General features: G+C 62.7%; 1 protein-coding gene across 4 annotated transcripts in view, besides 6 other annotated features; it reads right to left on the bottom strand.

Annotated features, from left to right (window-relative positions):
- Positions 1-21,205, bottom strand: part of ULK1 (unc-51 like autophagy activating kinase 1) — a 28,529-nt gene that overhangs the window by 3,275 nt on the left and 4,049 nt on the right. The window contains exons 4-25 of one of the 4 annotated variants that reach the window (XM_011538798.4): positions 12,952-12,984; positions 12,345-12,381; positions 11,059-11,232; positions 10,905-10,978; positions 10,639-10,740; positions 10,043-10,101; positions 9,875-9,957; positions 9,572-9,622; positions 9,076-9,164; positions 7,787-7,934; positions 6,618-6,678; positions 6,040-6,129; positions 5,399-5,524; positions 4,645-4,862; positions 4,455-4,541; positions 3,717-3,985; positions 3,285-3,478; positions 2,814-2,923; positions 2,322-2,465; positions 1,195-1,379; positions 492-664; positions 286-404 (exon numbers count right to left, since the gene is read on the bottom strand). In XM_011538798.4, coding sequence (XP_011537100.1) covers positions 286-404; positions 492-664; positions 1,195-1,379; positions 2,322-2,465; positions 2,814-2,923; positions 3,285-3,478; positions 3,717-3,985; positions 4,455-4,541; positions 4,645-4,862; positions 5,399-5,524; positions 6,040-6,129; positions 6,618-6,678; positions 7,787-7,934; positions 9,076-9,164; positions 9,572-9,622; positions 9,875-9,957; positions 10,043-10,101; positions 10,639-10,740; positions 10,905-10,978; positions 11,059-11,232; positions 12,345-12,381; positions 12,952-12,984 — 2,626 coding nt within the window. Of the gene's footprint in view, positions 1-285; positions 405-491; positions 665-1,194; positions 1,380-2,321; positions 2,466-2,813; positions 2,924-3,284; positions 3,479-3,716; positions 3,986-4,454; positions 4,542-4,644; positions 4,863-5,398; positions 5,525-6,039; positions 6,130-6,617; positions 6,679-7,786; positions 7,935-9,075; positions 9,165-9,571; positions 9,623-9,874; positions 9,958-10,042; positions 10,102-10,638; positions 10,741-10,904; positions 10,979-11,058; positions 11,233-12,344; positions 12,382-12,951; positions 12,985-21,205 lie in introns of those variants that run through there. The other 3 variants (NM_003565.4, XM_011538799.3, XR_007063134.1) reach the window with 3 other exon arrangements.
- Positions 3,917-4,086: an enhancer, noted in NCBI's record as "experimental_25936 CRE fragment used in MPRA reporter constructs". NCBI's record gives its function as "activates a minimal promoter by MPRAs in K562 erythroleukemia cells, with activity observed for both the introgressed and non-introgressed 12:132400420 or rs75464840 variant alleles {active_cell/tissue: K562}" and the evidence as "EXISTENCE:reporter gene assay evidence [ECO:0000049][PMID:34662402]".
- Position 4,001: a transcriptional cis regulatory region, noted in NCBI's record as "Neanderthal adaptively introgressed variant 12:132400420 (GRCh37/hg19 assembly coordinates) or rs75464840 in the experimental_25936 CRE". NCBI's record gives its function as "modulates activity of the experimental_25936 enhancer by MPRAs in K562 erythroleukemia cells {active_cell/tissue: K562}" and the evidence as "EXISTENCE:reporter gene assay evidence [ECO:0000049][PMID:34662402]".
- Positions 16,974-17,746: an enhancer, noted in NCBI's record as "H3K4me1 hESC enhancer chr12:132386675-132387447 (GRCh37/hg19 assembly coordinates)". NCBI's record gives its function as "activates a minimal SCP1, AML or CMV promoter by ChIP-STARR-seq in naive H9 embryonic stem cells {active_cell/tissue: H9 hESC(naive)}" and the evidence as "EXISTENCE:reporter gene assay evidence [ECO:0000049][PMID:30033119]".
- Positions 17,747-18,520: an enhancer, noted in NCBI's record as "H3K4me1 hESC enhancer chr12:132385901-132386674 (GRCh37/hg19 assembly coordinates)". NCBI's record gives its function as "activates a minimal SCP1, AML or CMV promoter by ChIP-STARR-seq in naive H9 embryonic stem cells {active_cell/tissue: H9 hESC(naive)}" and the evidence as "EXISTENCE:reporter gene assay evidence [ECO:0000049][PMID:30033119]".
- Positions 18,675-19,192: an enhancer, noted in NCBI's record as "H3K4me1 hESC enhancer chr12:132385229-132385746 (GRCh37/hg19 assembly coordinates)". NCBI's record gives its function as "activates a minimal SCP1, AML or CMV promoter by ChIP-STARR-seq in primed H9 embryonic stem cells {active_cell/tissue: H9 hESC(primed)}" and the evidence as "EXISTENCE:reporter gene assay evidence [ECO:0000049][PMID:30033119]".
- Positions 19,193-19,710: an enhancer, noted in NCBI's record as "H3K4me1 hESC enhancer chr12:132384711-132385228 (GRCh37/hg19 assembly coordinates)". NCBI's record gives its function as "activates a minimal SCP1, AML or CMV promoter by ChIP-STARR-seq in primed H9 embryonic stem cells {active_cell/tissue: H9 hESC(primed)}" and the evidence as "EXISTENCE:reporter gene assay evidence [ECO:0000049][PMID:30033119]".

Below are 21,205 nucleotides of genomic sequence, written 5' to 3'. Positions count from 1 at the left end.
CTGCCACAGCCCTGGCTCCCCGTGGCCTTGAGGGTGTGGCCAGGCTCCGCACCTTGTCCCGGGTGCCATCCGACCCCACGGCCTCTGTGCTCTGCATACTGGGCTCCAGGGTGCTGTCCGACCCAATGGCCTCTGTGCTCTGCACACTGGGCCAGGCCCCGGGGCCTCTGCACCTCTGCACAGGGGCCTACTCAAGCAGCCTCCCTGTTACCCTGTCACCCAGGCAGTTGCAAGGTGGGCTTCCTCCCCAACCCGGCATGTGGGCTGAGCGGTCGCAGCCCTCACCCTGCTTCACAGTGGACGACAGGCAGAGCTTGCCGGCCCGGATCTGGTCGATGGCACTTTGCAGGCCGGAGGACAGTAGCTCGGCCACCTTCAGGTACAGCACCAGCTGTTCCGCGAAGCTGGGGGCGGCAGGCAGATCAGAGGAGGCCGGTTGGTCCTGGCCCCCAGGCCACCACCCGCCCCACCCCAGCCCTGGCGGCACCCACCCCCATTCTCGGCTCAGCAGGCTGATCTGGTCGGCCACCACACTCTCCTGCAGCTGGTACTCAGGGCCCCCCGCCGCCTCACTGGCGCTGCCCTTCAGGGCTGCGATCTCCAGGACGTGCTGCACGAACAGCAGCGTGAAGCGCAGGCCACGCAGGATCTCCGTGTGCTCTTGCTGCAGGAAGCGGCCGTCAGGGCGGCAAGTGCTGCCCGGGCTTGGAAGGGGCTTGTCTCCCTTCAGACTCACCGATGACGCCTTGGGGAGGCAGGGCAGGGTACCCTCCCCTGCTGCAGCCCGGGCAGCTGGGATGTGCCACGCCCGACACCCCACACACCCTGCACCCCACACACCGTACACCCCACACAGCCGACACCCCACACACCCTGCACCCCACACACCCGACACCCCACACACCCTGCACCCCACACCCTGCACCCCACACACCCTGCACCCCACACACCCTGCACCCCACACACCCTACACCCCACACCCTACACCCCACACACCCGACACCCCACACACCCGACACCCCACACACCCGACACCCCACACCCCACACACTCTACACCCCACACACTACACCCCACACCCCCGACACCCCACACCCGACACCCCACACACCCTATACCCCACACACCCGACACCCCACACACCCCACACACCCTCCAGCCAGAATGGGAACCTTTGCTCACTCCAGCCCTCACCTCCATGAGGGTCTCCTCAGGGAGGTCGGGGGCCTCGAAGGTCACAGCCCCCTCCAGGTTCGCAGTAATGGGGTCGGCAAAGCTGCAGCCGTGTCCTGGAGCAGGGAGCTCAGGGGCTGGGGCCTCGCTGCAGGGCCCAGGCACCAGGTGGCGGGCAGAAGAGCTGGCAGAGCCAGTGGGGCCCGCTGCAGGGAGAGGGCGATGAGGGGCACACCAGGACCAGCAGACACCGTGGCCCCCATCCATCCCCCACAGACTCCCACACCTCCAGGGCCCAATGTGCCTCTGCCTCGGTTTACACCTGTTATATCCCAATGCTCCAACAGGAGAAGCACAGCAGGCCCCTAGAGCCACTCCTCAACCTCTTGCCACTCACCACAACCCCCAAGTCCCCAGCTCCCCACCTCAGGCCAAGGGCTGCGGTGCCCACCAAGGGACCCTCTGGGTATCCCGACCCCCAGCCCAGATCTGCCTGGGAGGAGGGCAGCTGCCACTGTCTGGAATGGGGTAGGTGCGTGGCTTGGTGTGCTACTGTGCCCCACAGCTGGGCCCAAGGCCCAAAAGGACCTCAAAGGGCAAGGCAGTCCCCCATCCTCGCTATGGGGCTGGCAGGTGACCCCAGCGATGGCAGCCCCTGGCCAGGACCAGACGCCCACAAGCCCACCCCTCCCCAGGCAGAACCCGCAGTGGGGACCCAGCCAGGCCCCAGGCCCAGAGCATCCCCACACACCACTGGCTGGGGAACCGAGGGGCACGCCTGTCTGCACGGCCTGTGCTCATCAGGGCAACTCCTGACCAACACAGCACAGCCCACGGCAGCTGGGCAAGGAGGCCATGATCCAGACACCGTCCCTGCTCACCTCATGTTTTGGGGATAAATGGGAACGAGCGCCTACCGCTCACAGGTTGAGTGGCAGGGGTGGTCTGAGGGGTGGATACCAGAACCACGTCCATTTCGCAGACGGGGAGACAGAGCAGGGGTTTCTCAGGGGCCTGAGCTGCTTCCTCAGGCACCCCTGGGCTCTGGGGGGCTGTAGTCCAGTGACCCGAGTTAAAGGATGCCCCCGTCCGCTAGGGCGCTGCCACCACCCCAAAAGGGACAGGGCTTCAGCCTAGCCAGCCCTCACCTGAGAACATCCTGGTGCGGGGGCCCTGGGGGGGCGTGCTCCCGCTCGGGGGAGAGCCCACGGTGAAGACCACCGGGGAAGGGCTGCTGGTGCCCCCAGCACGGGCTCCTGGGTGCAGGCTCCCTCCAAAGCCAGCTGAGGGTGCTGGGAGAGCAAGGAAGGGCTCAGGAGCATCCTGACTCCCGCCGACCCCCATCCCACAGCCTCCGAGCCGAACCCGACCCCCATCCCACGGCCTCCGAGCTCCCCCCAACCCCCGTCCCACAGCCTCCGAGCCGAACCCGACCCCCGTCCCACAGCCTCCGAGCCGAACCCGACCCCCGTCCCACAGCCTCGAGCCCCATCCCACAGCCTCCAAGCCCCACCCGACCCCCATCCCACAGCCTCGAGCCCCATCCCACAGCCTCCGACCCCCATCCCACAGCCTCCGACCCCCATCCCACAGCCTCCGACCCCCATCCCACAGCCTCCGAGCCCCACCCACCCACACACCGATCTCCATGGGCTTCTCCTGCAGGCTCTCCGTGCTGCCCGGGTCCGGGGCTTGTGTCCCAAACGCCGCCTTAAGGAGCAGGTCAGTGAGGCGGCTGGTGCTGAAAGACCTGTGGGAGTGTGCAGGGCTGTGCTGGGTGCCCGGCCCACCCCACCCTAACTGGACCTCGAGAGGTCCCTCTGCAGGCCAGACACACATGATGCACGGTCTCCTGGCCCACCTCGAGAGGCAGGCGCTCCTGTCACCCCAGCTTACAGGCGGGCATGGCGAGGCTCAGGACGGGGACCTGCTGTGGGTCTAGGGCCAGCCACAGGTGGGCCAGGCTCTCTGGCACCCAGCCACACTGGGCACCCACAGAAGGGCAAGGCTGGGCTTTTCCTGTTCTACCCCCCAGAAGTACCCAGCAGAACAATGCAGGGGAAAGAGGCTGCCCCTCAGAAGCCCGTCCAAGGCCTGTCCCCTCAACTCACCGGCCAAAGGGGCCCTTGGGGTCCTCGCCTGGCCGCAGGCCAGGGCCCAACGGCTGACCATGGAAGGGTCCCACCTCCGAGAGGTCGGGCAGCGTCCGGTTTCGAGGGGGCGTCATCACCACGCCCTGCCGGGCTAGGAGGGCCAGCAGGTTCTGGGAGCTGGGGGTCTTCGGGAAGTCAAAGGAGGGCACAGCCTAGGAGGACAGAGATGGGGTGAAGACTGCCCCGCAGGTCTGCAGCCCTGGGGCCCGGTGCCTGGGGAAGGGGCCGAGTCCGCAGGAACTGGCAGGCATGTGGGAGCAGCCTGAGCATGAGCCCAGGCGGGGGTCAAAAGGTACAGAGCTGCCTTCCTCGGTCTTTGTTCAGGACTGGCCATTCCCACACATCTTCCCCAGGGCTCTGTGCCCCTGCACACATGGCAGTGCCCATTACCTTGGTGGGGGAGCCCAGGATGGGGGGCAGGGGGTTTCGCTGCAGGAAGTCGGGCAGCTTGGGTGAGCCCCGCAGGTTCCGGCAGGACTGCAGGCCGTGGGACGGCTGGGGAGGGCTGGCCTGTGGTGGGCTGAACACAGCTCCCAGGGGGTCCGTGGGGGGTTTGGGCAGCTTGGGGCGGACGACGTGCAAGTCAGACAGGTTGGGGGCGCTGTGCAGGCGGCAGCCCAGCCCGGAAGTGCGGGGAGAGTGCTCGGGTGCAGAGGAGCCTAGAGAGAGACACGCCTCGTCACGACCTTCCGGTCCGGCGGCCCAGCCCTAGGCCCCACTGCTACCACACGGAGCCCCTTGGGGTAGACGCACTCCAAGGCCCCACTCTTTTTCTTTTGTTGAGACGGGGTCTCGCCCTGTCATTCAGGCTGGAGTGCGGTGGTATGATCTCGGCTCACTGCAACCTCTGCCTCCCAGGTTCAAGCGGTTCTCCTGCCTCAGCCTCCCGAGTAGCTGAGGCGCCACTCTTAAACCTGACCCTCAGCCAGCACAGAAGACTGGCACAGAGGGGATAAGAAACTTGCCCCAGCCCACACAGCCAGGAGGTGGAGAGGCAGTTGGCTTCTGTTCCACCAGCTTCCTTCCCACTCCTTTTCACTTGGAAAGAGCAAGGGCTTTAGACCAGGATGACAACGTGAGCGAGGGAGGTCAGCCTAGCACCCCCTCCCCCCTCCGGACTGCACCCACCTGGACGAGGGGACCTGCCACCCCGCATCTCAGCTCCCTGTGGGGAGGGCGTCCCGCTCCAGCCTGGCCGCTCAGGGATGGTTCCAACTTGGGGAAAAGAGAGATCTGTCAGGGTCCAGCTGGGACAGAGACAGCCTCCTCACCCACTGCCTACAGACGCCCCTTCCCAGGCCCCAGCCTGCAGGCGCACCTTGAGGAGATGGCGTGTAGGGCCGGCCTCCACCCAGAGACATCTTCCTGGCCAGGACGCCTCCATGCTCAGCGTGGGCAGGGGGCGAGGGGCTGGCCCTTGCAAAGCCCAGGGGGCTGGTGCTGCCTGACCTGCGGATGGCAGAGGACCTGAAGACAAGGCAGATATTAGGAGGGGAGGCCTCAGCAGCCCTGCCTGACCTGTGGACGGCAGAGGACCTGGGGACAAGGCAGGTATTAGGAGGGGAGGCCCCAGCAGCCCAGGACCCCATGCCACGCCAAGTGGCTACAGTGCTGACAGATGGCTCATCCTCTAATGCACTCTGTCCAGGTAACCGGCCACACAGTGGGTGTGTGGGAGGAGTTGGCCCCTTAGCTTTCCTGCCCGGGGTGCCAACCCAAGGCACCCTCACCCTAAAGTCTCCATCCCCTGCCAGACACCCACTGGCCCACACAGCCTTCTGTGAGTTAAAAGAAAGGTACCCTTTCCTCCCACCATTTACTTCTGTCTGTTAAAACTGGCCAAAGTCAATATTGATTTTATAAACTAGAGAGATTTTACTGATCAGAAAACTGTCAAAATAACTCTAGAAACCCAAGACATCAACAAAGTAAATGGTGGTGCTGAGTTACGCAGTGCGCAGCCTGCACAACTGCACATGGATGACGACCCTGTCCCTCTATGGGAGCCGTGGAAGGGCTCCTGCCACACAAGGCCCCAGCCACGCCTGGCTACCTGGGGGCTCCACACTCACCGAGGTGTTTGGAACTGGGTGGGTGACTGCAGGTTTCGCTCAATGCGCTGGTAGTTCTGCACCTGCGTGGGGACTGGGATGGGGACAGAGGCGCCGCACCTGCTGCTGGAGAACGGGCCAGCCCGGCTGTGGTGGAGAGAGGTCAGGATCATGACAGACACTGGGGTCACAAGAGGCTGAGGTCATGGAGCTGGGGCACCAGAAGAAAGCCTAGGCCCAGACTTCCTAGTTAGGGCAGAGGCCACCCTGAGACCCATGCCAGGTCTGAAAAGAGCCGGCTTCCATGCCTCTACACACACCAGAAATGTGGCACCTGCACCCCACCTGGACTCCCAGTCTGCACCCAGCCAGTGGGGGGCCACCCTGGCCGGGGCCCTGGCCATTCCTGGCCCTACAGGCTCGACTGTGCTGGCCCTGGCGTCCCTGGTTGGTTTCCTCATTCACCTACTCCTGTCAATGCTCCTCCCACTATAGTCCCTTCTGCAGGACGACCCAGCAGACCCCATCCTGCGAGGCCTGGGAGAAGAAGGCAGGGGCCTCTGGACACAGCAGGCCTGGGCTGGCTGCGACACACAGGAAGCCCAACCTCCAGCCGGGGGACTGTTCACAGCCCCATCCACCCAGCCTGGGGCCCTGCTTACCCTGAGGGACTGGGGGAGCTGCTGCAGGGTGGGGATGGAGATGGGGTCCGGCCGTGGCTCTCCAAGCCCGCAGAGGCCACCAGTGAGCTCCTGTGGGGCAGAAGGGAGGCCAAGGGCATTTTTTTGTTTTTTTTGGGGCAGTCTCACTCTGTCACCCAGGCTGGAGTGCAGTGGCGCAATCTCGGCTCACTGCAACCTCTGCTTCCTGGGTTCAAGCGATTCTCCTGCCTCAGCCTCCCGAGTAGCTGGGATTACAGGCATGTGCCACCACGCCTGGCTAATTTTTTGCATTTCTTTTTTTTGTCAGTAGAGACGGGGTTTCACCATGTTGGCCAGGATGGTCTCAATCTCCTGACCTTGTGATCCATCCGCCTCGGCCTCCCAAAGTGCTGGGATTACAGGCGTGAGCCACCACGGGCCAACGGCATTTACTTTTTTTTTTTTTGAGACAGAGTCTCGCTCTGTCACCCAGGCTGGAGTGCAGTGGCGCGATCTCGGCTCATTGTAAATAACACGGGCCACTTCCAAGGCCACAGTTTCTCTCCCCTAAAATACAGAGGTAAGGGATGGGGGCTCACCCACTGCACATCAGGCTGTCTGGCGGGGGTTTGGCACTGGGCGCCTCAGCCACCAGGTCACCTGCAGGGGGAGACAAGGCTGGGCCTGGAGTCCTTGCCGCCTGCCCAGGGCCACCCCACCCCACCGAGGCTCTCTGCTGGATCCCCACGCACACTCCACCTTGCAGGGGCCTCAGCTCGTACAGCGGCCTTGCGGGGGGCAGAGCCTGGGTGGTACAGTCCAGGCTGCATCCTCCCTGCCAGCCCCAGGCCAGCTCCGGGAGACCAGAGCGCTACCTGCCCCCGCTTATCCCCACTTGGACTCTGCGCCTCCTGTCTCCTCAGCCCCAGAGACCCCTGGGGCCCTGCCCCCCAGCCTTTAGCTAACTCCAGGATGGGCGGGGGAGGTCAGGCATCTACAGCCCTAAGTCTGGGCCCAACCCCCTCCAGGAATACCCAGGTTCCCACCCCCAAGGAGGCTCTGCCCTACCCCTGGTGTCCGTCTTCCTGTTGCCCTGACAGCTGGCAAAGGACCAAGGCCCTCCCCGGGTCTGTCTGGGGCTTGGCTCGGGCCTCACCACCCCCGCAGAAGCCATGCTGATGGGAGAGGCGGAGGGCTCGGCATGAGTCATTGTGTCCCTGGCAGACACGGGGACCAGTGCCAACCCAGACCTCCAGGAGCTTTGGGACAGCCAGGGACAGAGTGCAGGGCCTTCAGAGGAGCCACAGACCCCAGGCCTGCTCCAAAAGTTTAGGCACCTTCATTCAACAAACACGTGGGCAGCCCCTGGCCATTATGGAGCGGGGGGTTCCCCAAAAGCCAAGGAATAAACCCACCTGCAGGGTGTAGAGGCAACAAGAGTTGCTGAGAAACAAGGTAGGGGTACATGGCGGGGGAGGGGCATGAGGTGAGCGGCCCCCACCCATCCGAAGAGCAGCACTGTCTAAGGAGACCAGGCCTATGGCCTCCGACCTCCTACTGACCACTAGGAGGACCCGGCTTTGATTCCAGGAGTGGTTTTAACAGACACGGCCTCCCCAACCAAGCTGGGCCGATGCCGGTGGCTCCCAGGGGCCCATCCTAACTGCCCATAAGTGGAAATGTGTTACACACTGTGCATCCAACACATGCAATGCACTGTCCCCGCCGCACCTGAGGCGTCACCTCCAAGCCCAGCGTGCCCCCTGACCTGGAAACTGCGCGGGGACCATGACGAAGTCGTCTGTGTCACAGGAAGAGTCCTTGCTGCCACCAGAGTCCCGGGAGCTGTGCAGGAAGCCAGCGGTGTCAGCCGGGGAGGCCAGGGTCTTCTGCAGCTGCTGCATCTCGCCCAGGGACTGAGAGTCAACGGAGGGGCTGGTGAGCAGGTCTCAGGGACCTACACACTCAGGGGAGCAAATTCCCCCTCCTGGGATGGCCCAGAGCCCCAGTAAAGATCGGGGCGCTGGGGCTGAGAAGGGCTGGGCACGTCTTTCTTCCTGTGCTCCGCTCTTCTCTGTACTTCCAGAGCACTCCACTCAAAGGCCAGCTTTGACCTCGCAGGGACAGGCCCCCCGACGAGCCACTCTCACCATGCAGCCTGGGTGGGTTGAAGCCCTCAGCTCCCAGAAGCTCTGGGAGGCCCTGTTTTGGGGAGTTGTTCACCACCTGCCCTCTGCACCTCACTTTTCCATCGGCATAGCCAAGAGAACGAGGTACCATGGAAGGCGTGTCCAGTGGAGAGGCTGCCACCCCGGTGGGCCCTGCTCTGAGGCCAGCACCATGCTAAGGCCCAGGGCACACCATCCGTGCGGTGGTGGCTAAAGCCCCAAGTGCCCCAGGGCAGGTCTGCGGATGCCACAGCTCCCTACAGCAGGGCGCTGCCACGCTCCCCTCGCCACATCTGAGCTTTCGGCCATGATACAGGCAGACAACCAAGGTCAGAGGACCGGTCCCTGGTCACAGAGCAGGGGGCCAGGCCAGGAGAGCCCAGACATGAACTCATCACCACCAGCCACAACACCATGCCTGAGAGCCAGGCTCCCAGTCAGATGGACAGAGGGACGGGGGTTCATGGCCGACTCAGGTGCTCTGCAGACCCCTCCCATGTCACACAAGGAGTGCCATCATCATGTGGGGCCATCACCCTGCAACCCTACTCATGCTTTGAGTCCAATGGAAGACACGAGGGAGGCCAGGGGTGCAGGTGTCAGTGGGCCAAGGCCACACGCTGCTTCTGTCCACGTCAGCACAAAACCAAAGACAGGACCAGACCAAACAGCCGCCCTATCGGCCTCTGGGACCTGAGGGCTGTGGGTGTTGGGAGGGGCTGTCACCCGTTTGTGGGGCTTCAACATCTGACAGAATGAACTCATCCATGTCTTTCGTGACTCACACAGACAACAGAAGTCACAGCACGTCCCCGCGGGGGCCCAGGGCTGGAGCCCCTGACTGCTGAGTGGAGGGAGAAGCTGCCAAGCCCCTGGGGCGGCAACTCACCGGCGGGGAGGCCAGGTGGGAGGTGGAGCTGCTGCTGGAGCTGCTGCCGGACCCCGAGCTTGGGTACGAGGGCACAGGCACGGGTGGGGCTGAGATAAACATGCATAGGTCAGTCTGGGCCATCCTCCTGTCTCCTCCTCACCCTCGAGCCAACCCACAGACTGGACAAGCTCAACCATATCCCCTCCACTTCCGGCTACACCCCGACCAGCAGGAAGGAGGGAGGCTCCCTCCTGGGCCACCCTATGACTGTCACAGGGCAGCACCAGCCCCTCCAACACCCCATCCCCATCCCAAGCCTGCTGCACCATGCGAACCCCTGGCCTTGGGGTCCCCGCTGCAGCAGAGCAAGGAGCCGGGTGTCCTGCCCTCCCTGGGAGCTGGCCGCAGCTCAAGACCTGCTCCCTCTGCCCCACACTCAGTGCCCTAACCAAACCCGGGGAGGAAGGGGTGCATGCAGGGCCCATGCGGAGCCCCAGGACCCACAGAAACTCACATTTCCTGACCGAGGGGCTGGCATCGAGGAAAGGGTGATGAAAAAACTCATCTGCAGGAGGAAGGAGGAGTGAGGCCTCAGGAGGACCCCAGCTCTGACCCCAGGCCCCTGCCTCCCCACGGCCTGAGCTCCAGCCGCGTTGGGCACCTGCCCGGGCGGAGGTGGAGCCCCTGCCTGCGCTTGGCTTGTGGAAAGGGCAGTGTGCACATGGGGCTGGGTGTGAAGCCGGTGGGCCCTGCTCACATCAGCAAATGCAAGGAAGGAGGGTGGGGGACTCCAGCTGCGCCCCTGGTGGGTGCTCACCGAAGTCCATGCGGTCCTTGTGGTTGCGTTGCAGTAGGGCCAGGAGCAGCTGCCGCAGCGGGGCCGAGGTCTCCCGGGGGATGCTGGGGCAAGAGGAGGCTGGTGTGAGCAGGGCCTGCGGGGCCGGAGCCCGCGGGGGAAGGGAAGGGAAGGCGGGAGGGTGCTTACGTGGGGACCAACGTCTTGTTCTTCTCGTAGAACAGGCGCAGGTCCTGGGGGCTGCTGGCCTGCGGGGACGGGGACAGCCTGACTGCCAGGGCTGCGGCCGAGCGGGACCAGCCCACGGGGTCTCGGTGCGTTCGTCCCCAGTCGGCCCCTGCCCCAGACGCTGCGAAGCCCGGGGGAAACCGGGTGCTAGCGCGGCTGTTTGCTGCTGGAGGTATGAGCATGGGGGCGGGGAGGGGGCGCCGACGGTCTCTCGGGGTGTCCACCCCCCAGAACGCGGCCTCCCAGCCCTCACCCACTCGGCCCCGGCGCTGCCCTCACCTCTGACCAGGCAGGCGACCAGACAGGCGACTAGACAGGCGACCAGACAGGCGAGGGAGGCCTTGCCGGGGGCAGCTCCCAGTCACCGCCGGCGGCGCCGCCCTCCCTGGGGGACACCGAGGCCCCTTCCCCACTGGACCCCTGGACGCCCGCCCCGCCAGCCAGGACCCGAGGGGAGCTCGTGGGGCGCGGGCAGGGCTCGCAGGGGGCGTCTGACCGCAGCTGGCGGACACTTGCACTGACGGTGCGGCGTGGGGAGCAGGGCCAAGCCCAGTTACCTGGAAGGGCGCCTTCCCCGTCAGGCACTGGTAGACGATGGTGCCGATGCTCCACAGGTCCGCCTTCCCGTCGTAGTGCTGGGACATGATGACCTCGGGGGCCTGCGGGACCAGAAGTCGGGTCAGTGTGAGGCCCCCGCACGCCAACCACAGAAGGTGCCCGCCAGGCCACAGCCAACCAGAGCAGAGCGCACCACACGCCAGCCAACCAACCAGCAAGCCCAGAGAGGCGCCCACCCGGCACAGCCCGGCCAAGGTAAACACACCATGTACATGGGGGAGCCGCAGAGTGTGGCCGCCATCATGTTGCTCTGGAGGTACCGCGCGAAGCCGAAGTCAGCTGCGGGAGAGAAGCGTCAGGACCGGCGCCGGCCCCGGAGCCCCTCCCCGCCGGGCCCGCCTGCCTGCCCGCGGGCTGACCGATCTTGACGCGGATGCTGTTGGGGTTGGCGCGGCGGCCGGCGGGGTTGGACAGCAGGATGTTCTGCGGTTTCAGGTCGCGGTGGATGATGCCTTTGCTGTGCAGAAGCCGCATGGCGCCCGCGATCTGCTGCAGGAAGAGCCTGATGGTGTCCTCGCTCAGCGTGCGCATGGCTGCGGGGAGAGGCGGCTCAGGGCCTGGGGGCCGTGTTTCCTCCCCCAGGGGTGAGTCCCGCGCAGCCAGGCCGGTCCCGCCACACGGATGGAGAGCGCCAGGCAGGGCCGCAGGCCGGGAGGAAACCCCGGGTCAGGAGGGGCACAAGCCACCACGGGCCGCCGAGACCAGGGCGCACCTGAAGCTCCTGCGCAGAGCCCGGCGCGCCGGCCCCACCACTCAGCCCCGGGCTGCAGCTGCTCCAGAGACGGGAGGCCGCCGAAGCCCAGCCTCAGTGCCACCGCGGTTCCGCCCGGGTCCCGCTCCTGCCCCTCTTCCCGGCATCCAGACAGGTGCCAGCCGCGCACAGCCCGACCCGACCCGCAGCCCCAGTCTCAGCTACGCGCGGCCTCAGCGTCTGTCTCCCAGGCTTGGTCCGTGGGGTCCTCCTCGCGTGGGGCGAGGCGAGGGGGCCAGCGGGTCCTGTCCATCTACCAGCCCCGCACTCCCGCCCCAGCGCTATGAGGGCGACGCGGGTCTGAGCCGGCGTTTGAGCAGTCCTGCCGGCTCCCGGGTGCTCAGGCCCAAGTCCCCGGAACTGTCCCAGAGCCACCTCCAGACCCTCAGGACACCCCCAAGAGGCCGCCGGCGCCCCACCCACCCCCGCGCCCGCCGGCACTGTGGCCCGGACCCCCACCCAGAGAGCCTGGGAACAGACGGGCGCGGCCGCCCCCCTGCTGTCCTTCCCTCTGCCCCGCCCCGCCCCGTGCAGCACATCCCCTCCCATCCGCCACAGGGCTCAACTTTGGGTGGGCCAAGAGCCGCCTTCCAGCCACACTATGAAGACAACAGCCCCCACCCCTGGTTTGTGCGGCTCCCCTCGGGCTATTCTGGTCACAGCTGTCTCCTCAAGCAAGGGGGAGGCCAGCGGAGGGACTGCATCCTTAACAGCCGGGAGCAGCTCAGCTCCCTGCATCCCCTCAAGAGGCCCAGGGGGACAAGAAAGAGCCAATCTCACAATGAGCCAAGGACCCACTCGAGCCAGGCTGCCTCCCAGACTGGGCCAGTGTGGCCCTGGGTGCGGGCCCTGTGGGACCGGCTGGCAGCCCAGGTGGCGCAGCTGTGCACTCACCGTGCAGGTAGTCGGCCAGGTCCCCACCGTTGCAGTACTGCAAGAGACCAGACACGCATCAGGCTGCAGCAGGGCCCAGGGCCCACCTCCCAGCCCTGCCCAGCCTCCCCACCCCTCACACTTGGACACTACTCCCTGAGCCCGCAGGCACCTGCCCAGCCCAGGGCAGGTGTCCCCACAGTCCCTGCTGGAAGACATCAATAGTGATACTCAGCAGGCGTGGCAGCTCACGCCTGTAATCCGAGCACTTTGGGAGGCCAAGGTGGGCAGATCGCTTGAAGTCAGGAGGTTCAAGACCAGCCTGGCCAACGTGGCGAAACCCCATCTCTACTAAAAGTATAAAAATTAGCCGGGCGTGGTGGCACACACCTGTAATTACTCCCAGCTACTCGGGAGGCTGAGGCAGGAGGATTGCTTGAACCCGGAGGTGGAGGTTGCAGTAAGCTGAGATCGCAGCACTGCACTCCAGCCTGGGCGACAGTGAGACTCCATCTCAAAAAAAAAGAAAAGGTGCTCATCACCCTCCCCCCAGCCATGTCCCTCCCTGTGGGGCTCCCAGGGCCATGGCCATCAGCCTGCACTTGTCCTGGCACCACAAGGCACTCACCTCCATAACCAGGTAGACAGAATTAGCCATTTCCTGCAAGACAGAAAAGAGGCTGTGAGAGGTCCCAGTGCCACCGGGCCCCACTGCAGGGAGTCTGGCTCAGCCCCAATTCGGCCTGGGCAGGCCCTGCAGTGCCAGGACTTAGCTGGTCAGCCAGCGGCCGGGAGACGAGGACATCTCTGGGCCACGTGCTTTGTAGGTGGGTGTGTTCTGTTTTGTGGCCAGCCAGGTCTCCATCTGATCAAGGCAAAGGCCCCTGGTCCCCCCATAAGAGCAACAGCTCCTGGCAGAGGACATACCCCCTAGCAGGAAGGGTGAAGGCCAGGTGTGTGGGCAGGTGTGTGTGACCCTCAGGCCATAGAAGCTTCTCAGCTCCTCAGCCCAGGATCAAAGACGCCAACAGGGCTGGTCGCAGTGGCTCACACCTGTAATCCCAGCACTGTGGGAGGCCAAGGTGGGTGGATCACAAGGTCAGCAGTTTGAGACCTGCCTGGCCAACATGGTGAAACCCCGTCTCTACTAAAAATACAAAACTTAAACAGGTGCAGTGGCTCACACCTGTAATCCCAACACTTTGGGAGGCCAAGGCGGGTGGATCATGAGGTCAGCAGTTCGAGACCAGCCTGACCAACATGGTGAAACCGTCTCTATTAAAATACTAAAATTAGCCAGGCGTGGTGGTGCGTGCCTGTAATCCCAGCTACTTAGGAGGCTAAGGCAGGAAAATCACTTGAACCCGGGAGGAGAAGGCTGCAGTGAGCCGAGACTGTGCCACTGCACTCCAGCCTGGGCGAGAGAGTGAGACTCCATCTCAAAAAAAAAGAAGACGCCAACAGATTGCAGGTTGGCGCTGCCAGGTTGACGCAGAGGCCTGCGGCCTCCAGCTGCCCTACCCAACCTGGCTGCAGCTCAGGCTGCCATCCCTCGCCCCAATGCCTTCGGTCAGAGGCGTCTCAGCCACCCCCTCCGCTGCTGGGCCAACAAGACCTGACCAGCAGCTGCTCAGCCCTCAGCTCAGACACAGACCTGACCGGGGGTGCCACCAGTACCCCGCCCTTTCCTGCCCCCATGAAACTCAGAGTAAGCCACCGGTGCAGACACAGCACACACCCCAACGGCCAGCATGCGTACACCCTCACCTGGGACTGGGAGCCTCCCTGTAGCCCACCACTCACTCCCCGCAGCCACAGGGACGAGTCCTCATCACCCCCGTTTCACAGACAAGGAGAGTGAGGCCCAGGAAGCCACATCAAACCAGGCAGGCTGGGCTGGAGGAGCAAGGGCCCCACACACCTGACTCTAGGCCTCAGAACAGGAGGAGGAAGCCCTTTCCACACAAAGCCCCCTCCCTCTGCCCTGTACACATCCACATGCTCTAGGTGCTTACAGGGAAGCGAGTCCACACCTGTTGTAGGGCCATCCCACTTCTACCCCTGAGCGAGCCCAGGCTCTCTCAAAGCAAAGGGGAGCCGTGTCTGGAGGGGGTCTGCAGGAGGAACACCCCTCAGCGCCTCAGGAGCCGCGTCCCACACAGGACCCCTGCTCAGCCCCCAGTCCCAGGAGGCCCCAACCAATCAGAAGGCACCCCTGGTGGGGGGGACAGCCGCAAAGCCACTGGGTGATGCCTGCTTCATAAACGTGAGAAGCCCGTGTCCCAGAGCTGCCCCCGCAGAGGAGCTATGGGCTGGACGAGGATGCTGAGTGGGGACAGGCTCAGGAGAGGGTGCCTTTAGGGAGGCTAAGGCCGATGGTGCTCAGGCAGCAACCCCAGGATCCACAGACACTGCAGGGCCGGCCCAGAGGGAGACCCAGAAACCCAGGCACAGCCTAGAGAAGGTGGGACCTATCCATGAGGCAGGCCTCAGCCCACCCCACCCACAGCCTGTGCACCCCAAGCCCCGCCTGGCCTCACCTGCCTGCCCAGGAAGAGCACGTGGGGAGCCCAGGGCTCCCAGCAGCTGTGGGGAGAAACAATCCACAGAGCACAGGATGGGGCAAGGGGGACTGCAGGGACAGCTCCGGGCAGAACCCAGGAAGGAGGGGGAGATGAAGCTAGACTCAGAAATAACTTCAGGACGGCCATGCCCACTCCCTGACCTGGGCCCACCATTACCCTCCCCACAGCCCCTCCAGTGAGTGCCCATAGGTGCCCACATTTCTCCTCTCCTCTCTGGGGGCCACCTGCCCTGGATCCCAGAGCCAGGGGTTCCCTAAGACCTGACCTGCTCATCAGAGCTCCAAACCCACCAGCAAAGCCAGGACAAGCAGGGATGTGTCAAAGTCAGAGGTATCCTGGGGGAACACCCATGTGTGCAGAGCAGGAGCCCAGCACCCCATCCCCCAGCCACTCACCCAGGACCGGGCTGTGTGGGACAGGAGCTCCCTCTGGGCAGGGGGTGCTAACTGAAGCCCTGTAGCCTCCTCCCACCCCCAAACACTAAGGCAGCCACCTCTCACCCCTAGAAAGGCAAAGGCCTGGCCGGGTACGGTGGCTCATGCCCGTCATCCCAGCATGTTGGGAGGCCAAGCCAAGAGGATCGCCTGAGCCCAGGAGTTTGAGACCAGCCTGGGCAACATGGCAAAACCCCATCTCTACAAAAAAATACAAAAATTATCCAGGTGTGACAGTGCACGCCTGTAGTCCCAGCTACTCAGGACTGAGGTGGGAGGGTGGCTTAGGCCCAGGAGGCCACAGCTACAGTGAGCCGGGAGATCGTGCCACTGCACTCCAGGATGGGTGACGGAATGACACCTGTCTCAAAAAGAAGAAAGGCAGAGGCCCACCAGGGAGACCCCTGTGGCACCAGTGACTGGCCCACAGGACCCTGGCAAGGAGGCTCTTCCCCCACCCCATCTGCTGCCCACACTCTAGCCAGGGTCCCCAACACCCCTACCCAGGGCACCTGGCCCTGCCATCCCTCCAGCCACACTGGCCTCATGGGTGCTGGAACCCACCTCGCTACTGACACGTCTAGACCCCTGGCCTTGCCCCAGAGTCACAGATGTCACCCCCTAGGTCACCTTCCTAGAGACCCCTCTGCCCTCCCCACTGTGCTGGCAGCCCTCCTCTGTCCCCAAAACCTCAGGGGGCACCAGCTCCCAGGAGGGAGTGGGCAGGGGGCTGTGGGACCGAAGCACCTCCAGCCTCTTCCCTGCACTTCAAATGGTCCCTTGCAGAAACCAAGGCCTGGCCCATGCTCAGCCTCTCTCCTAAAAGGTCCTCTCCAGCAGGTGACTCAAGGCCACTGGGGGTGGGGCTGCAGGGTAGGGTGGGGGCATCCACCTCACCACAGGCATTCGGGTCTTCCCAACTCCCCTGGGACAGATGACAGCTTCAGACAGGCCCTCAGGGCTGTGGGCATCCAACTCCCTGAGCTGGGCATCGGGGCACACCAGGGCCTTTCCCGTGCCTCCGAGAGCCTCCTGTGAAGTTGAACTACACCAGCCCTGCAGGAGCCCAGGCAGCAGGCCATAACCAGCCCACTTCCCATACGAGCACACTGAGGCCCCAGAGGTTGGGAGGCGTGCCCAGGCTGGGAAATGGCAGCACAGCCCAAGCAGGTGGGCTGGAGTCCTGTCCTCACTCTGCCCAGTGCCAATGCCAAGCCAGTCACCCTCTGTGTCCCCGGAAGGACCTAGCCTTGCTGTCTCCAACCCTGGCAGAGTCAGGGATGAGAAGTGAGGACAAACAAGCCCAGGACCACCTCTGCCAGGGCTGGGGGAGCTCCTCCAGGGCAGCTGCAGGCCCAGGCCCTGCGCCACAACACCCCCCGACGGGGGCCCCCAGCTGGGCCTGTCCACCCTTCCCACAGGCAGCGACTCTCTCTAGGGCTCTTGAGGGGGGTCAGGTGAGAGCACAGCCTCACCGGCCACAGCTGACCTCCCCTGGGCCCACCCAGAACCCACACAGGGCATCGGGCTCCAGCTCTGCCTTGCAGAACCCACACAGGGCATCGGGCTCCACGTCTGCCTCGCAGCTACATTTGGTTTTCACAAGCTACCCTGGGCAGTGGGGACCGGGCAAGCTCCCAGAATCAAGTCACCCAGTTAAGACACCAGAAAGGGCCACAACTGCCTCCCTGGGCTCCAGGGGAGGAAACCGGCCACCCCAGGCAGAGCAGCTCGCCTCCCAAGACAGGGTCCGGGGGTCCGTCCCGTGGTGACACACACAGTTGTGGCCACACCGCCCATGCCCTAATCAAACACACCAGGCTCCCTGCACCATCACCCCCACCCCGGGAGGTGGGTCCCAACTTGCCGCCTATTTAAAGGGAGGAAACAGGGAACGGCTGCTGACCATTCCACAGGGCTGTCCCTGAAAAGTCCCAACACATGCATCTGAGGCTCAGAACACTTCAAAAAGACAGCAATATCAACACCCCACTGTCTCCAGGCAGCATGCCTGAGGGACCTGGGACAGCACTCCCCAGGCAGGCCGGCCCCCACACCCTGCACACACGCACCCACGGCCGGCCAGAGCCAGGTGTCCCAGGCAGCCTGGCACGGGTGTCTGGGCACGTAGGAGGCTGCCCCACCCCTGGGGTGCTAAGGTGCTTTACTTAATAGGATCCAGGCTCCCACCCTCTGCCAGCCCTACTCTTGTCTGGTGATCCTGGGCTGGGCCTGGTGAGCAGGCACTGACCTAGTTCACACCTCCAGAGCTGGCTCCGGAAAGTGGCAAAAGCCACAGCTGTGGCTGGACAGAACCACTCTGCACCCCCAGGCGGGGCTCCTGGACAGCTCCCAAAAGGGAAGGGATGCCGGCTCCACCCTAAGAAGGAAGGGCCACCCTCTGGCCCTGGGGAACCACCTGCAGCCGCCCATTGTGTATGGGCCTCCTGGGGCTGCAGCCCAAGGCTGACCTCTGCAGCCTCCCGCCTGCTGGGCCTGGGGGTCTGGACAATCCGGGAGCCAGCCGCAGGGGGTTGAGGCAGGTCCCTAGATGCAGTGAGGCAGGGGTGGGTGGCCCAACCCTTCTGAGGGCACGACCTTGCTTGGAAAAAGCAGGAAACAACCCCAGTGCGAGTTGGGGGGTGCAGGGGGTGTAAGCTGCAGAGACCCTCAGGAAGACGCCAACTCCTCACATTCCCCCCGAGACCCGGCCATCCTAGTTGGCGCACACCCCAGTAAAAACTGTTCCCAGCAGCTCTGTCCTTCAGGTGGCTGAGACCTGACCCCCAGCCATCGCGGACAGATACTGATACCAGGTGACAGTCCCACCACGGGGTGCTGCGCACAAACAAAAACCAACTCCTGTCACCCACGGAGACACAGCACCCCTCAACCTACGGCTGACATCCCACCTCCAGGCTTAAAGTCAGCATGTGGCAAAGGGAGCGTGTGGGAACCAGGAGCTGGCTCACGTGAAGAATGAGAAAGCAGAGGGGGAGGGGGGCACACAGGAGGACGGACGTGCCCTCGATAGGAGGGAGGAGAGCGGCCCGGGACGCGGGCATGGCTTTGGGCTGGCGCTTGCTACGCCACACAGGGCCTGTTGTGGTATATCTTCTCATCTGTTTTGCACTTTCCAGTATTTTTATCCCATGATTTTTTTCTTTTTTTTTTTTTTGAGACGAGTCTCGCTGTCACCCAGGCTGGAGTGCAGTGGCACAAACTCAGCTCACTGCAACCTCCACCTCCCAGGTTCAAGCGATTCTCCTGCCTCAGCCTCACAAGTAGCTGGGACTACAGGCGCCCACCACCACGCCCAGCTAATTTTTGTACTTTTAGTAGAGATGGGGTTTTGCCATGTTGGCCAGGCTGGTCTCGAACTCCTGACCTCAGGTGATCTGCCCACCTCGGCCTCCCAAAGTGCTGGGATTACAGGCGTGAGCCACTGTGCCCAGTCTCATCCCATTGTTTTCAAAGTTAAAAAAAAAAAAAAAGATATACACAACTTCGGAGGTAATTCCAGAACTGCCTGGGCCCTGGGAGCCCCTTCACAGGCCCCTGCCCAGGAGCTGGGTACCCACCCCACGGGTTTCTACTCGGCCTGCATCCTGCCCCAACTCACACTGCAGACAGCCCCCCGGCCAGACCAGGCCAGGCCTGGCAGCCCCCTCCTCACTCTGGGATGGGGAGTTACAGTCTCATGCTGGGCTGGACTGCCTGGACCCATGGTCTCCCAGGACCCCAAGCAGGGCTGGACACCTCTTGACTCAGGTCTCCACTGCAAGTAACTCACAGGCAGCGGCTCTGTCTGCAGGGCCTGAGTGAGTCACACCTGGGTGGCCCAGCAAGACCTTTAGCTGCAAGGAACCTGTCAGATGGCGTGCTGGCCAGGGGGGCCACCATCAGCAAGGCCAGTAGCCATCAGCCCTCCTCCCAGGGCATGCTGGGCAGGATCCCAGCCTGGCTCCACAGCCCTATACCCTGATTTCTGTGGTGGCCGCACTCCTGGGGCCAGGCAAGTCCAGACAGGGACACCACATGCTCAGTAAGGAGGCCAGGTGCTCCCCAGGTGCTCCAGCCGCCTCCCAGCGGCTGTGGTGGACTCAAAGAGCGTGACCCAAGGCACACACTTCCCAGGCACTCACATTTTCACAATTTTGTATGGCTAAAAAAGAAACCCAATACACAAAACCCAACACAATAAGAACAAAAATAACAACCTCAACAGTCAACAAACAACATGGCGGGGAATACCTGTAACCTATCACAAAGAAGCTACTTTGCTTCATATATAAAGGACACCTACCTTTCAAGAACATTGACAGAGCACTTACAAAGTGGCAGGCACAGTTCTAAAGACTTAACATACTCAAGATGCCATCACAACCACAACAGTTTTTTTTTTTTTTTTTTTTTTTTGAGAGAGTTTCACTCTGTCGCCCAGGCTGGAGTGCAGCGGCGCAATCTCAGCTCACTGCAGCCTCCACTTCCTGGGTTCAAGCGATTCTCCTGCCTCAGCCTCATGAGTAGCTGGGACTACAGGCACGGGCCACCACGCCCAGCTAATTTTTGTATTTTAATAGAGGCGAGGTTTCACCATGTTGGCCAGGATAGTCTCGATCTCCTGACCTCATGATCCACCCGCCTCAGCCTCCCAAAGTGCTGGGATTACAGGCGTGAGCCACTGCACCCAGCCAACAGTTTTTAAAAGGTAAGAAAACGGAGGTGCCAGGAGGCTACCTGCCCAATGTCACACAGGTAAATGTTGGAGCTAGGATCCAGCAAATGGCAGAATGGCTCAGGGGCCATGGTGTTAAGCATGGTACCCTTCCAGCCTTGGCACAAAAGGGACCAAGAGCTTGCCAGAAATATGTGCCTAACCAAGTATGGTGGTGCGTATCTGTAGTCCCAGCTACTCAGGAGGCTGAAGTGGGAGGATCTCTTGAGCTCAGGTGTTCGAGGCTGCAGTGAGCCATGATTATGCCACTGCACTCCAGCCTGGGCAAGAGAGTGAGACCCAGTCTCTTTAAAAAATATATTAAAATAGGCCAGAAGCGGTGGCTCATGCCTGTAATCCTAGCACTTTCGGAGGCCGATGTGGGCGGATCACCTGAGGTCGGGAGTTCTAGACCATCCTGACCAACACAGAGAAACCTTGTCTCTACTAAAAGTACAAAATTAGCCAGGCGTGGTGGCGCATGTCTGTAATCCCAGCTACCCGGGAGGCTGAGGCAGGAGAATCGCTTGAACCCGGGAGGCGGAGATTGCAGTGAGTCGAGATGGTGCCACTGCACTCCAGCCTGGGCAACAAGAGTGAAACTACATCTCAGAAAAACGTATATATAAAATATAGAAATATATCAGGCAGGCTGGGCATGGTGGCTCATGCCTGTAATCCCAGCACTTTGGGAGGTCGAAGGTGAGGTCCGGCGTTCAAGATCAGCCTGGCCAATGTGGCGAAAATTGTATAAATTTTTTAATACAAAAATTAGCCGGGCGTGGTGGCAGGTGCCTGTAATCCCAGCTACTCGGGAGGCTGAGGCAGGAGAATCGCTTGAACCAGGGAGGTGGAGGTTGCAGTGAGCCAAGATCGCGCCACTGCACTCCAGCCTGGGTGACAAAGAGAAGCTCCATCTCAAAAAAAAAAAGAAATACACTATACAAAGGACAGGTGGTATTTCTAACATTCCCATGCTCGGATAGGGAAGCTCATTCATCACCAATGTAAAAGAAAACCGCCCAGGCATGGTGGTTCACTCCTGCAATCCCACCACTTTGGGAGGCCGAGGTGGGTGGATCATGAGGTCAGTTCGAGACCAGGCTGGCCAACATGGTGAAACCGTGTCTCTACTGCAAATACAAA

Source organism: Homo sapiens, chromosome 12, assembly GCF_000001405.40.
Source record: "Homo sapiens chromosome 12, GRCh38.p14 Primary Assembly".
NCBI classification, from domain to species: Eukaryota; Metazoa; Chordata; class Mammalia; order Primates; family Hominidae; genus Homo; species Homo sapiens.
Note: the sequence above shows the minus strand (reverse complement) of the source record. Positions and strands in the feature narration are given on the sequence as shown.